The sequence below is a fragment of the Homo sapiens genome, chromosome 19, assembly GCF_000001405.40.
Source record: "Homo sapiens chromosome 19, GRCh38.p14 Primary Assembly".
Classification (NCBI taxonomy): domain Eukaryota; kingdom Metazoa; phylum Chordata; class Mammalia; order Primates; family Hominidae; genus Homo; species Homo sapiens.
Window position 1 is genome coordinate 42,138,032 of NC_000019.10, and position 14,275 is coordinate 42,152,306.

At 51.7% G+C, this 14,275-nt stretch overlaps 1 protein-coding gene across 3 annotated transcripts in view, besides 5 other annotated features; it reads right to left on the minus strand.

Annotated features, from left to right (window-relative positions):
• Nucleotides 1-14,275, minus strand: part of POU2F2 (POU class 2 homeobox 2) — a 111,827-nt gene that overhangs the window by 51,922 nt on the left and 45,630 nt on the right. The window lies entirely within an intron of this gene.
• Nucleotides 1,706-2,207: an enhancer, noted in NCBI's record as "H3K4me1 hESC enhancer chr19:42643889-42644390 (GRCh37/hg19 assembly coordinates)". NCBI's record gives its function as "activates a minimal SCP1, AML or CMV promoter by ChIP-STARR-seq in naive H9 embryonic stem cells {active_cell/tissue: H9 hESC(naive)}" and the evidence as "EXISTENCE:reporter gene assay evidence [ECO:0000049][PMID:30033119]".
• Nucleotides 1,706-2,400: a biological region, named in NCBI's record as "Sharpr-MPRA regulatory region 1615".
• Nucleotides 2,106-2,400: a silencer, noted in NCBI's record as "tiled region #1615; HepG2 Repressive DNase unmatched - State 10:DNaseD, and K562 Repressive non-DNase unmatched - State 20:ReprD". NCBI's record gives its function as "represses a minimal TATA promoter and a strong SV40 promoter by Sharpr-MPRA in HepG2 and K562 cells {active_cell/tissue: HepG2 | K562}" and the evidence as "EXISTENCE:reporter gene assay evidence [ECO:0000049][PMID:27701403]".
• Nucleotides 11,501-12,001: an enhancer, noted in NCBI's record as "H3K4me1 hESC enhancer chr19:42653684-42654184 (GRCh37/hg19 assembly coordinates)". NCBI's record gives its function as "activates a minimal SCP1, AML or CMV promoter by ChIP-STARR-seq in naive H9 embryonic stem cells {active_cell/tissue: H9 hESC(naive)}" and the evidence as "EXISTENCE:reporter gene assay evidence [ECO:0000049][PMID:30033119]".
• Nucleotides 12,002-12,502: an enhancer, noted in NCBI's record as "H3K4me1 hESC enhancer chr19:42654185-42654685 (GRCh37/hg19 assembly coordinates)". NCBI's record gives its function as "activates a minimal SCP1, AML or CMV promoter by ChIP-STARR-seq in naive H9 embryonic stem cells {active_cell/tissue: H9 hESC(naive)}" and the evidence as "EXISTENCE:reporter gene assay evidence [ECO:0000049][PMID:30033119]".

Sequence of the window (14,275 nt, forward strand, 5' to 3'; positions counted from 1 at the left end):
AGAATTTGGGACTTCAAGAACAGTGGGACACCTGAGAAGGTTTCAAGCAGGGGAGTGGCATGGTTCTATGAACACTTTTGTGACAATCCTGGCTGCTTTGGAGGCCGCAGTGAAGAACCAGAGGATGGAGTGTGGGGGTCAGCGTGAGGAAGCTGATGAATTCCACATCACCATCAGGTGATGATGACAGGAAGCAATAATTGGTGATTGGCTGAATGTGGGGCATGGGAGTCACGGAGAAGTCAAGAATGAGGTCCAGGTATGTTAAAGTATCTTTCCTGGCACAGAAGATTGGGGCAGGTGGAAGAGCTTAAGCTCAGGTAAGAAAGATCAGGGTAGGACCTGAGGTCCTGAAGGATGAAAGGAAGGGCAGGAGGTGGGAAACAGCATTCAAGGGGGTTGCCAAGGTTGAAGACCCCAAGGTGGAGACAAACTTGGCTTTCCCAAGTTTGTCCTCAAGTTCCTTTGAGGTTGGATTTGAAGTTGCAGGTGGAAGGCTTCTGCGCAGAAGCATTCTGTGTAAGGAAGTTCTACTGGGGACAAATGTGGGGACCGGCTGGTAGCATGGAATCTGGAGACAGGATGACCAATGGGGAGGCTGGGACAGTGGTCCAAGGCGGCAGGGGAGAAAGGAGCCATGAGGATTAGGATGAGGATACATATTCAAGCTGGAGTCTACAGGAACAGGATATGAGAAGTGGGTGCTGGGCTGGGGTGGCTGGGTGGATGCGAGGCCATCACTGAAAGACACAGTGAGAAGGGAAGCAGGGGGAAGACACTTGGGTCAGTTCCAGGGGGAAAGTCAGGAAGCAGCATCTTCCAAGAAGCAAGGTCTGTGGACCAGAAGTCAGCAGATGCTTAACAAATTCACATGGATACAAACATTCCTCATCATATCTCCCCACCACAGCCAATTTTCCACATCCACCAGAATTCCCAGTTCGCCTCATGTAAGAAAAGAAGCACTGTGATGTGGCTCAAAGAAGATAAAAGAAGACTAACTGGCCGGGTGTGGTGGCTCACACCTGTAATCCCAGCACTTTGCAAGGTCGACGAGGGCGGATCACCTGAGGTCAGGAGTTCAAGACCAGCCTGGCCAACATACAATAAAACCCCATCTCTACTGAAAAATACAAAAATTAGCTGGGCATGGTGGCGCACGCCTGTAGTCCCAGCTACTTGAGAAACTGAGGCAGGAAAATCGCTTGAACCCAGGAGGCGGAGGTTGCAGTGAGCTGAGATCACACCACTCTACTTCAGCCTGGGTGACAGAGCGAGACTGTCTCTGAAAAACAAACCAACAAATAAAAGAAGACCAACCAGTCCCTGTTCTGAAATTCGCCCTCTAGTGACCTAGGGCCAGCCCCCTGAACTCCCTGGACCTCAGTTTCCCCAGATATATGTCTGAGATGGGCTGGAGAAGCACTCTAAGACTTCTTCCAGCTTGAACATTCTTTTATTTTATTTTACTTTATTTGGCTCACTGCAACCTCCACCTCCTGGGTTCAAGTGATTCTCTTGCCTCAGTCTCCTGAGTAGCTGGGGCTACAACCATGCGCCACCATGCCCAGCTAATTTTTGTATTTTTAGTAGAAATAGGGTTTCACCATGTTGGCCAGGCTGATCTCAAACTCCTGCCCTCAAGTGATCCACCCACCTCAGCCTCCCAAAGTGCTGGAATTACAGGCATGAGCCACTGTGGCCCGGCCCCAGCTCTAACATTCTGTAGCTTGAAAGAAACAAGAACGGGTGAGATGGACTGACGGCTCAACTGGCCATTGACAAATAGGGAGGTAAAGCATGGCCAACCTACTCTAAAGAGGCCCTGGCTGGGTATACTCGGCAACCCACTTACTCCTCACTGTCATCTTATGAGGGAGAGACCATTATCATCCTCACTTTAAAGATGAGGAAGCTGAGGCCCACAGTCACACAATGAGGCTGGAGTGAACCCAGAGGCTTGTTGACCCCAAAGCTTGTGCTTCAGCTGTTTTGTTGAGCTCACTGCTCCTCAACCTGGCTTGTGTGAGTCTCATTCAGACTGCAGATCCCCCAGGAACAGGGTCCCTTGGCATCCACTGCCATGTGCTCACCAGGGTCTCTGAATGACCTGTGGGAGCAGGCGCCTGGCCCTGGGTCTTCCTCAATGAGGCTCTGCCCTTGGCCCAGGAGTCCCTAGCCCCCTTGCTGCTGCCCCCAGGCTTTCCACAGCCCACATGCGCACTTCCTGTTCTCTAGCTCCCACTGGGCGCAGCACCAACTCTGCAGGCTCAGAGGCCGCCGCTGTCATCCCAGCGCAGGGAGCTGTCCAAAGGCTGAAAAGCAAGAGCCCATGGCCTTGGTCCAGAGCCCTCCAGTCCTGCTGCCCCCAGGACAAACCCAGTCCCCTTACTGTGGCCTCCAGGGCCCTACAGGACCTCCCCGCTGGCCACAGGAGTACCACACCTCAGCCACACTGGAGGAAGCTAATTTTGTCCCCAACATGGGGCCTTCAACCTTGCCAGCCCCCTTGAATGCTGTTCCCCACCTCCTCCCCTTCCTCTCATCCTTCAAGACTCCACTCAAAGGCCACTCCTCAGAGAAACCCTCCCTAGTCATGCTCCACTCCATTCCCAGTTTTATTTCCTTCAGAGCACTCTGAAATTCAATTGCCGCCTATTTGCTTTACTGTCTCTTTCACCCTCTAAAATGTAAGCTTTCTGAAGACAGGTGTCCTTTTCTGTCTTGTTCACTGTGGTATTCTTGGTGCTTTAACAGTGCCTGGCATATAGTTGATGCTTGAACCTTACTTGTTGAATGAATAAATCCTTCCAGGCACCCATGGTCCACAGAATAAAATCCAAGGCTGGCTCTCCAAACCCAAGTGGATATGGTGCCTCTCAACCTCCTCAGCTATCTCACCCTCAGAGCTCACCTTTCTCCTCTGTTCAATAACTTGGGCTCCCCTATGTGTCCCATCCCTCATGCCTGCTTTGTCTGCCACAAATTCTGTACACACCAGCCTCTGCTCAAATATCCTCTCTCTGGAAGCCTTCCCTGACCTCAGTCTTGCCACAGCTCCAGGTAGTATCCCCGGGCTTTAGCACTAATTGTACTGCACTGAATCACTTCCCAATGAGGCTGTACCTACAGACTGTGAGCTCCTTGAGAAGAGGGCTCAGTTTGACATGTTCTTGTAGACTCAGCACCCAGCACTGGGCCTGCATTTAGCTGAGGCTCCAGGAATGTTTGTTGGGTAAGGACAACTGCCCTGCAGATGGTTAACCATCTATACAGGTGAACATAATGACTAGTTTGGTAGTCAATCAGATGAGGGTTTGGAATCTGGTTCCTCCATTCATTTGCTGTGTGACCCTGGGCAGGTGACTTCTCTCTCTAAGCCTCAAGCTCCTCATCTGTGAAATGGGGGCAGTAAAATTGGCTGACAGGAACTTAATTAATCTTTTTTTTTTTTTTTTTTTTTTTTTGAGAAGGAGTCTTGCTCTCGTTGCCCAGGCTGGAGTGCAATGGCACAATCTTGGCTCACTACAACCTCTGCCTCCTGTGTTCAAGCGATTCTCCTGCCTCAGCCTCCCGAGTAGCTGGGATTACAGGCATGCACCACCACACCTGGCTAATTTTGTATTTTAGTAGAGACGGGGTTTCTCCATGTTGGTCAGGCTGGTCTCGAACTCCCAACCTCAAGTGATCCACCTGCCTTGGCCTCCCAAAGTGCTGGGATTACAGGCAAGAGCCACCACGCCTGGCCAGGAACTTAATTAATCTTAAATTTAATATTTGCTACCATGCCCTAAGAACAAACATGTTCACTAACTACATCAAGATTTGAGGTTGAGAAAAATAAGAAACAGTCTAGATGCCACCGATAGGACAGTGGCTAAGTAAATTATAATACATTCATACTCAGGAATACTATGCAGTTATGAAAGAGAATGAGACTGATCTATGGATTGCGGACATGAAAAGTTCTCCAAGACACTGTTAAGTGAAAAAGCAAGTTGCAGAACAATTTATACAACTTGATATCATTGATGTAAAACACATACATCTATTTTTAAAAACTGTATCTTTTCTATGGGCGTACAAGTATTAAGCAAATGCAGAAAAAATGGTCTGGAAGGTAACTAATTATAACCTCTTTTGTAGTAACTTCAGTTTTGGTTTGTTTGTTTGTTTTGAGATAGAGTCTCACTCTGTCACCCAGGCTGGAGTGCAGTGGTGTGATCTTGGCTCACTGCAACCTCTGCCTCCCGGGTTCAAGGGATTCTCCTGCCTCAGCCTCCCGAGTAGCTGGGATTACAGGCACGTGCCACCACACCAGGCTAATTTTTTGTATTTTCAGTAGAGATGGGGTTTCACCGTGTTAGCCAAGATAGTCTTAATCTCCTGACCTTGTGATCCTCCTGCCTGGGCCTCCCAAAGTGCTGGGATTACAGGCATGAGCCACTGTGCCCGGCCAGCACTTTAGTTTTAATAATGAGATTGTACTTGTTTTTTGGTGGGGGTTTGGGGTTTGGGGGGTTTTTTATTTGTTTTTGTTTTTGTTTTTGAGACAGGGTCGTCTCACTCTGTCAACCAGGCTGGAGTACAGTGGTGCAATCTCAGCTCACTGCAACTGCCACCCCCCAGCAAGCAATCCTCCTACCTCAGCCTCCTGAGTAGCTGGGACCAAAGGCACATGCTACCACACCCAGCTAAGTTTTGTACTTTTTGGTAGAGACAGGATTTCAACATGTTGCATGGGCTGGTCTTGAACTCCCGGGCTCAAGCGATCCTCCCTCCTCAGTCTCCCTACATGCTGGGGTTATAGTCATGAGCCACTGTGCCTGGCCTGTACTCATTTTTTTAATTAAAATTAGAACATATTAAATGATACACATGCAGAAAATCAAATAAATGATTATCCCAAAAGTGAGAATTGTAGTTACCTCCAGCAGAGAGGAAGGAGTATGTTTGGAAAGGGACACACGGGGTGGGGCTTCTGGGTGCCTTTGACATCTCCACCCAAGTGGTGAATGCACAGATGTTCACTCGATCAAGATTCATTAAACTGGCCAGGGGTGGTGGTTCACACCTGTAATCTCAGCACTTTGGGAGACTGAGGCTGGGTCACTTGAGGCCAGGAGTTTGAGACCAGCCTGGCCAACATGGTGAAATCCTGTCTCTGCTAAAAATACAAAAAATTAGCTGGGTGTGGTAGTGCATGCTTGTAATCCCAGCTACTCAGGAGGCTAAGGCTTGAACCTGGGGGCTGAGGTTGCAGTGAGCCGAGATCAAGCTGCTGCACTCCACCCTGGGCAAAAGAGCAAGACTCTGCCTCAAAAAAAAAGAAAAAATTCATTAAACTGTACATTAACGTCTTGTCCAATGACTGTGTGCTTCCTGTGGGCAGGGGCCAATCATTGCAATATCATCTGTTTCCCCATCCCCATTTCACTGCCCAGAAACAGACTTAATATAAGTTGTGTGCTCAGTAGGGAGTGCCCATCACGGCAAGCGCTCAGGAGGGCCAAGGCCGCTGTCCAGGGTACTAACGACCCAAGCCTGGGAGGCCACAGAGAAGGCCAGCAAAGCGAGCCAGCTTCAAGATGCCTCATTCTGAAGGGCCCCTGCCCACCTCAACTCCTCTCTCCCCACCCCCTTCACTCACTTCCTCCAAGCTGTCTGCCTTTCTGTTCCTGCAATCCACGCCCGCGCTTCTTCTTGCCTCAGGACTTTTGCTCTTGCCCTTCCTCCTGCCCAGTGCAGTCCTTCCCCAGGTGTTCCTAAGGCTCGTCCCCTTACTTACTCCAGAATTACACTTAAACACCCCCTCCACAGAGAGGCCTTTTGACATCCTGTCTCACATGGCACTTCTCATCACTACGTCCTCTACCAGGTTGCACTTTCTTCTAGCACTTTTTGCTGTCTCACCTTCAAGCCTCGTGTCACGTGCTTGTTTATTACCTCTTTTCCCCCAAACTGAATGTTTATGCCAGCACAGGGAGCATGTGTGTCCCATTATGTCTCATCCTGTCTTTTAGAAGGATCCCAGGTGCACAAAATTGGATTAATCATAATCCTTGGTTCACAGCGTACTCCCATCACTGGGCTGGATGGAGCCCTCTTTCTCTATCCATTCACTTATTGTTTTACTTATTTTTAATAATGAGTTAATGTGAACCCACATTCACCATTCAGATTAGAACCATGATAATAATCATACTAGCCTGTGTCTGTCCTCTTCACTGCTGTGTCTCCAGCACCTGCAACCCAGGAGGTGCTTGGTATTGATTTATTGAAGAAGCTGACAAAGGGGCAATGACCTCCACACCCTGCAAAAGGGAGCTAATGGGAGTGCCCACCTGGCCTCACAAGGCGGGAGAAGAAGGCAAAGGCCAGGCCCTCCACTCAGTTCCCCTGTCCTCCCCTGGTGCTCCACTCCTGCTCAGCCTGGGCAAGCGCCTCTTCCACACGATTCAGTTCCACATCTTCAGGGAGGGCCCACTGTGCCAGACCTTGTGCCAGGAGCTAGGGACACAGGGTGGCTCAGCTTGGCCATGCTCCTGAGGAGCTCTCAAGCCTCGATGCTCCAGGCCCCTAGACCATCCCACTATTCTACTAAGTAACAAGAGCAGCTACATGGCACCTGCTCTGTGCAGGCATATGTTATGTGTATTCTTTGCATCATCTTTTGGCATCTTCCCAACAATTCACTAAAGCAGGGGCTGTTATTATCCACCCCCTTTTCAGAGGAGCACCCCAAGGCGGGTCAGAGAGGGCAAGGACTTGCCCAGACTCAGTCATGGGCAAGCCAATTCCAGAGCCCAGCTCTCCTTGCCCCAGGCCTTGCTGTTACACTGATCCCATGCACATTTCTCTTCCTCCAAAGTCTGTGAAGTCCTGGGCCTCTTGCATCTCTGCAAAAGCAACTGAGGATGGCTGAAAAGGTGTCAACTTTAGAGTCACATAAATAGGTAGTTAAGTCCCAGCTGTGGGGCTAGGTGTGGCCTATGTGTCACTTGGCCCATGTGTCACATTCCTGAGGGGATGAAATTAAAACAAAATGTGTATTTTTTACTTTATAGTTGAATGACACTGCCAGACCACACCACCAGTAAGATAGTATGCATTTTGTTTTAATAAATCCTGAAATGACCTTATAAATATCAGTTAACGTGGCATTTTATTGTTGTCATTGCTAAAAGCACAGGTCTGTAAATCCATTTCAGTATTCCTTCGTTCTTAGTACACTAGGAGGCTCAAGAATTAGAAGCTGCCTTGGCCTCTCTCAGCCTCTGCAAAGACTGCTGAGTCCTAGCTGTGCAACTTTGAGCAAACCACTCAGCCTCTCTGTGCCTCTCTCAGAACTGTGCGGACCCTGAGCAGCATCCACAGAGGGCCCTGCCTACAGAAGGTGCTCTACATTGATTCAGAGGAGTTTAACTTAACGGAACTGTATTAGCCCAGATCGCATGAGACACAGTGCCTGTCATCGTTGAAGCAAACTCTGAGCTCTGGACATTTGAAGGAAAGTGAGGGATCAAGGAAGAAGTCTAGGTTGTTGTTGTGACAACCATTTACTGAGATGGACACAAGCTCTTGGAAAAGCTTGGGAGAGGGAATCAAGAGTTCTGCTTTAGGCTGGGTGCAGTGGCTCATGCCTGTAATCCCAGCACTCTGGGAGGCCAAGGCAGGTGGATTGCTTGAGGTCAGGAGTTCGAGACCAGCCTGACCAACACAGTGAAATCCGTCTCTACTAAAAATACCAAAATTAGCTGGGCATGGTGGCACACACCTGTAATCCCAGCTACTCGGGAGGCTGAGGCAGAAGAATCACTTAAACCCGGGAGGCGGAGGTTGCAGTGAGCTGAGATTGCGCCACTGCACTCCAGCCTGGGTGACAAAGCGAGACTCTGTCTCAAAAAAAAAAGAGTTCTGCTTCCCAGGAGGTGGAGCTTGCAATGAGCCGAGATCGCGCCACTGCACTCCAGCCTGGGTGACAGAGCGAGACTCCGTCTCAAAAAAAAAAAAAAAAAAAAGAAAAAAAAGAGTTCTGCTTTAGACAAGTTAAAGAGAAGCCCTCCACCTACTATTAATATTTAGAAGCATTTTCTCACTGAATCTTCTCAATACTCTACAAAAAAGCATTGTTAACATCCCCATTTTACAGAGGAAAACACTGATGCCCAGCAAAGTTAAATCACTTGGCTGGAGACACAGATGGAACCAGGATTGGCACCCAGGAAACCGGACTCCAAAGTCCACATTGCCATCCACTGTTCTCTTCCTCTCCCTCAAACCCTTGCCCACCCTGTCCCATTGGCTCAGCAGAAACACTGGCCTTGGACCTGGGCTTTGCTGTCTGAGACATCCATGTATCTCCCATCCCCGTCCCCAGTTATGGCCTTCTGCCAATATGAACCATTCACTGAGTGCCTTCACATCACCTGCCCACCTTGATTCACAACAATTCTGGGATGCAGATTGCACAATGCTCCCCAGCTCCACTTTGTGGGGCCCTAGCAGATTCTCCGAGCTCATACAGAAAGACCAGCTGTGAGGGGAGCCAACACCTTCAAATCTACTCGCTCCCTACACCACCTTACTCAGAGCTCACCTCCTCTGTGGAGTCTCCTAAGGGAAGGCCCCCCCATTCACATCTGTGCAAGATCCCGGTCTGGCAAGAAACTTCTCAGTGCCAACCAGGCACTTTAGGGTTCACATGGAGAACATTAAATATAAGCAACCCAGGCATCTGCCTCATGGAGGCTTCCTGCAGCCTCCTAGGGAAAAAGTAGCACCTGACCTGGTAAGAGGAAAAGCTCAGGTTTGGAAGGGTCAGACTCTCACTCTCTGCTCTCCACTTCTTTGAGCCTTGATATTGTCACCAATTCCAAAAGCGCTGTCTGATTCCTCCACTCCTCCCACTGCAGTCCAGGCCACCACCACCTCTGGCCTGAGTGACTTCAGTGGTCTCCTCCCCGAAGGTGTCCCTTCTTCCATGCCTGTCTCAGATAGTCTCGTCTCCCCTTGGCCCCCAAAGGGGGTCTTTCTAAAACGTAACCAGGTGGTGTCACTCCCTTGCTTAAGATTCTCCAGGAGCTTCCCATGCATTTGGGAATAAAACTCAATCACCTTAACCCAACCTATAAAGTCCTATGTCATCTCACCCCTGCTGACACCTCTCATCTCTTCCCCCATCACTCACCTCTTTGCCTACCCTGCTCCAAGCCATGCTGTCTCCTCTCTGTTCTTTAAACCATGCTCTTTGCAACCCCAGGCCCTTCGCATGTGCCATTCCCTCTGCCTGGAACACTGTTCCTGTGCTCTTTGCCCCATTAAATCCTACTCGTCTTTTAAGGTTTGGCTTAAATAACTTGCCCTCTCTCCTGGCTCCCTATTCTAGTTTATTCTTTGGGATAGACTTATCAGTTCCTGATTTTGTATTTGATTGATGTTTACACTTAAAGATCTGCATCTTCTCTAGTTGTCAACTCCATGAAAATACACCATGCTGGTTCTGCTGCCTGCTACATCTTTAGTGCCCAACAAACGCTGGGCACATAGTGGGTGCTCAACAGACAGGTGGAATGAATGACTTAAATGGATCCTGCATAGGGACAAGCACCTGAGGCAGAGTACTTAAGTCTTCGAAGCCTCAGTTTCCACTTCTGTAAAATCAAGATAATAATTCCTCCTTTACAAGATAGTGGTGAGGATCCAAATAGTCAATGAATATTGACAGTGCGTTGGGAAAAAATCCTCTGCAAATACAAAAGCTTAAAGACCTGGAACCTAGAGGATGGGCAGGAGTCAGAGAGAAGAGCAACAGGAAAGGGCATGGCCATTTATCAGGTGACATTGTGTTTTGTATTTCCCCTTTCCCTGACCCCTATGAGGTAGTAGTTATGACCCAGAGGAGGAAATAAGGCTCAGACAGGAGAAGCCCCCTTCCCAGGGTGTCATGGTGAGTCCATGGAAGAGCCGGGATTTGTACCCCTCACACTGAGGCAGGCAAAATGGTCATTGCAGGAGAAGCATCCCCTGATCTCTTGCCCCCCTCTTCATCCTTCGCCCCCAAAGCCCTCACCTCTTTCCAGGTTTCCTGGTCTTGGCCTGAATCTCATACTCCTCAGCTGATCCTGCCAACCTCATCTCCACCCCAAGACCCACCCAGCCCTGCCCCAGCTGACACCTGGTTCTTGTGCTCACATCCTGGCCTTTCCCACATGGCCCAGAGGGACCTTTCTGTCTTCTATTAGGAAGGCCTTGTACTAATTGGAAAACTTTTGTTTGACGGTAATGCCAAAAAATTCATAACTAGTGAAAAGTAAGCACTGTTTCAGGCATAAGCAAGCATATAGCATGTGGGTAAATACGTGGGTCTGTACACGCCTTTGAAACACAAATGCCGTCTTCCCACATCAGAGGGATCTCTCTAACACAGAGATCCTCACTCCCCTCCGCAAACCAGGTAGCTGTGAGGCCAGAGGTGGGGAACTGTGAAAGCTGCACTAATGTAGACCTTGTTGGTGTTGGGTGGAGGTGACTGGTCCTAGGTGAAGGAGAGAGGCTTGGAAAGGACACCCAGGGTCATCCTGAGATCCTCCTCATCCTCCAAATGCCCCCATCTGTCAACTTCCCCTCAATTCAACCCAAAGATGTCTGAATCCCTCTGCTCCTCCGGCTGTGCCTCCCACTCAGGACTTGCTCCTCCCCACCCCACCCCACCCCAGCCTCTACTGTTGCACGGGTTCTTCCTCACTTGCTCCACAAATGTCCCTTGAATCCTGTCTGTGTGGCAAGCAATGAACCAGACACCAGTGATGTCACGGCCCCTGCTCTGGGGAGCTGACAATGGACATGGACCCAGGCGTCTTGAATCCACGCCCCATGTTCCTTAAAGCATGACCCTGGTTGGGCCTCGCTCCCACCCAGACCGAGAGGAAAAATCTTGGCACCCTAGACCTGCCCACGTCTGCAGCTTCACCTTCCCAAGCCACCATGAGAAGGAGAGAGGAGGGGCGACCATGTTCCCCAGCCTGAAGATCCTGCCCTCAACTCCCTCCCTAGGAGACAGAGGACCCTGGGCTTTCAAGGCAACATAATCCACAGGGGAGGCCGTAAACACCCTTGGAGTAGCTCGCTTTTCAGGGGAAACCAAGGCTCAGGGCCAGCATGACTTGAGCAAAGCCACACAGCGCGTCTGTGGCAGACAGATGGGCCCCACCCCTCAGTTCCCAGCTCCATCTCTGCGAGTGTAGACTTGTTTGAACTTCCCTAGACACTGACACTGCCAAGAGAAAGAAGAGGGGCTTAAGACCCTTTTTCTGCGTGTTCTGCTGATGTTCCAAGGACCTGAGCCTCCACTTCTTTCTATGGCTGTGGGAGGGGAGATGAACCAAGAGAGATGGGGCTAGACAAGGGATGTGGGGCGCAGGCAGGGTAGAAAAAGACAGAGTGAAAAGCATACAGCAGGGCAGAGAAAAGAGGGGTGTAAGGAAAGAGTAACTGGGGACTATCAAGGTAGAACAGAGAAGTGTATGGGGGTTTTTAAATCCCTGGAGGGAGAGGCAGCAATAAAGGAAAGAGAGTCAGAGTCAAATAGAGAGACAGAGACAGGAAGATGCAGATAAAGAGGTAGAGAGAGAGAACAGCAGAAAGAGAGACAAAGAAAACAGGAGAGAAAAGAAAGAGGGAGGGAGGGGGAAGAGCAAGCAGAGGTGGGGCCACAAGGGCCTCCTGTAAATTGCTTCCCAACACCCTCTCCCCTGCCCCTCACACCAGCAGTCCAGCAGGGTGTGTGGTGTCGTCCCCATCCCTGAAGGGGCTGCTCCGGGCAGAGCTGAGACTGACACATGGGAAGGTGTCCAGCTCCCGGCCCTCTCTCTTTTCCTGCACCCAGCTGCCTCCCAAAGAAAAGGGCCAAGTTCAGTGTGGAAGGGGCAGAGACAGGCCCTGGGGGACTGAGAGCTGAAGTGCTGTAACCAGGGGCAGAGAGGCTGCAGTCTGTCTCCCCTCTTCAGTGCCTGGTCCCCACAGACACCCTACCTGTTCTTGTCCCCTGCTGGCTGCTGAGGGACAGGCTTTGGCTATCCTGACTTTGGCCAATGCCTCCCTCAACCTGTGGCCATCGTCTCCCTGCCTGGTGACCCCAACACCCTCCTGTACCTCCTCCTACCCATCCCTGTGCCCCCCAAGACCACCCATCCCATGGCCACCTTTCTGCTCCTCTGCAGGTTTGGGGTTAGGGAAGGGAGCACAGAGGCCTAGATGGGGGGTGGAAGGCTTGGTGGATTATTGAAGATGTGCGGGCACTGCGGCTGACATGGATGAGGAGGAAGAGGAGGGGGTCTTGGTGATGGACGATGCTGATCCTGCGGTGGGGGGAATGGCAGGGGAGGGGGTGGAGAGGGCTGGGGGAGGGGTGGTGAGGAAGCAGGTTCGGAGGGGAGCAGGACCAGGCTCACATTTGGCATTCAGGGCAGCTGACAATAAAAATGCTTTATTGCCAAGAAACTGGATCGATCGGGGCTGGAGGGGGCCGGCAGGGGGGACGCGGAGGGCTCAGCGCAGAGGCCGGCGGCCGGCCTTCGCAGCGACCAGGGCCCGAGCCGCCCTCCCCCCTGCACCCCCCTCCCTGCCTCCTGCCCTTTCTCTCTCCTGCAGCCACCGCTTAGTTCTTATTATATTTTTTCTTATATATTTTTCCCCCAGCTTCTCCTGCTCCTGTTTTTTTATTCTTTTAATTTTTTTTAAAACTCGCTGCACTCCCAATGCCGCAGGCCGGGTGGGGGTGGGGTGGGGGCATCTGCCTGGGCCAGGCCCCTATCCACAGGGTGCCCAGAACTGCTGGCTCTGGGATGAGCCCCACTTTGCTTCTGTATCCCCCAATCCAACCAGGCTCCTCCTAGAGCCTGTCCTCTGTGGATGCCCATCTCCCCCTGCCACCCCTCCAAGGGGCCTCCTTCCAACCTCAGAGTACCCACACACACATATCCATGGTGGGCTGAGGGCCCTGGCCAGGCCTTCCTCCCCTCCCCCCTACCTGGCCCCCTGCTCACTCCCGGAGCCATTTGGCTGATGGTCAGAACTGTCTGTCAAGGTGGCTCTGAGCCCCTGGGGACCCAGATGGGAGGAGGGAGGGGGAGAGGTCGGGGGTCAGGCCACGTCCCCTCAGCTTGTCTCTTTCCCCTCCCCCTTCCTAACAAAGGGAGCATCGGCCTGACACTGGCGGGATGGCCTGGTACTCAGGGAAGCGGGGAGGAGAGGGGCTGTGGGGATGGCCATGGGCAGAAGGCGGGGGTGGGGGCCGCCTGCCCCTCCTCTGCCCTCCCCCTCGGGTCAAGGCTAAGGTGATTCCTCAACCTCTCGGAGGCTGGGCTGGGAGGAGAGGAGGATCTGGACAGACAAAGAACTGGAGCCCTGGGGAGTTGGGGGCTGGGGGGACGCACCTGGGACCAGGGCAGTCCTGGCTGAGGGAGGGGCAACAGGCACCCCTCTGGCCCTGCTCTCACCCTCTGGATGGCCCTGCCTCCCATCTGTACCAATCCCTACGGATCCCAGAGCCATACAGACCTTCCAGCTTGGGCAAGGTCGGATGGGGGTGGGGGGAAACTGAGGCCCAGAGAGGGGAGACGGCCCAGGCCCAGGGTTCTCAGCGCTGTCCCAGAGTCTCTCCCCTCACTTCTCTTCCTACTAAGGGAAGACATCTTCCTCTCCTGCCCTCCCCCACCCAGGTCAGGGGAGGTTTGGTGGGGGCAGATGGTAGAAGGTTCTATGGAGAGGGAAGAGGAGGCTGAGGAAAAAGTGAGGCTAAGCGTTCTCCTCTCTTAAGCCAGTGGGCAGGGGAGGAAGCCAGAAGAGAAAAAGTCTAAATGTGACCTTGAGCACTGGCCTGGCACAGCTGTGGGAAGAAACTTAACGTCCGTCAGAAAGGGCAGGAAACCAACATAGACAGGGTGCTCCTGAGTACCTGGCTAGCGGTGGCTGGGGAAGAGGCCTTCAGACAGTTTTCCCCTTTTGCCCATGGCTACAGTGAAGGAGGAGGATTCACACTCTGGTTGGTCACAATCCACCCATGACACTGCGTCAGGGCCTCCCATCCACCCAGCCTGACTGTGGGGCGCAACGGGTAGCTGAGGCAATGAACAGCTGTGAGCCCCCATGCCCACAGGGATATGGAGCCTCCAAAGAGACAGAAGGAAACAGGCAGATCTTCTGTGCTTAAATTCTCCTATGAAGGCTGAGGTGACTCTCGGGGAGAGGGCCGCAGCGAAGAAGAAGAGGGGGA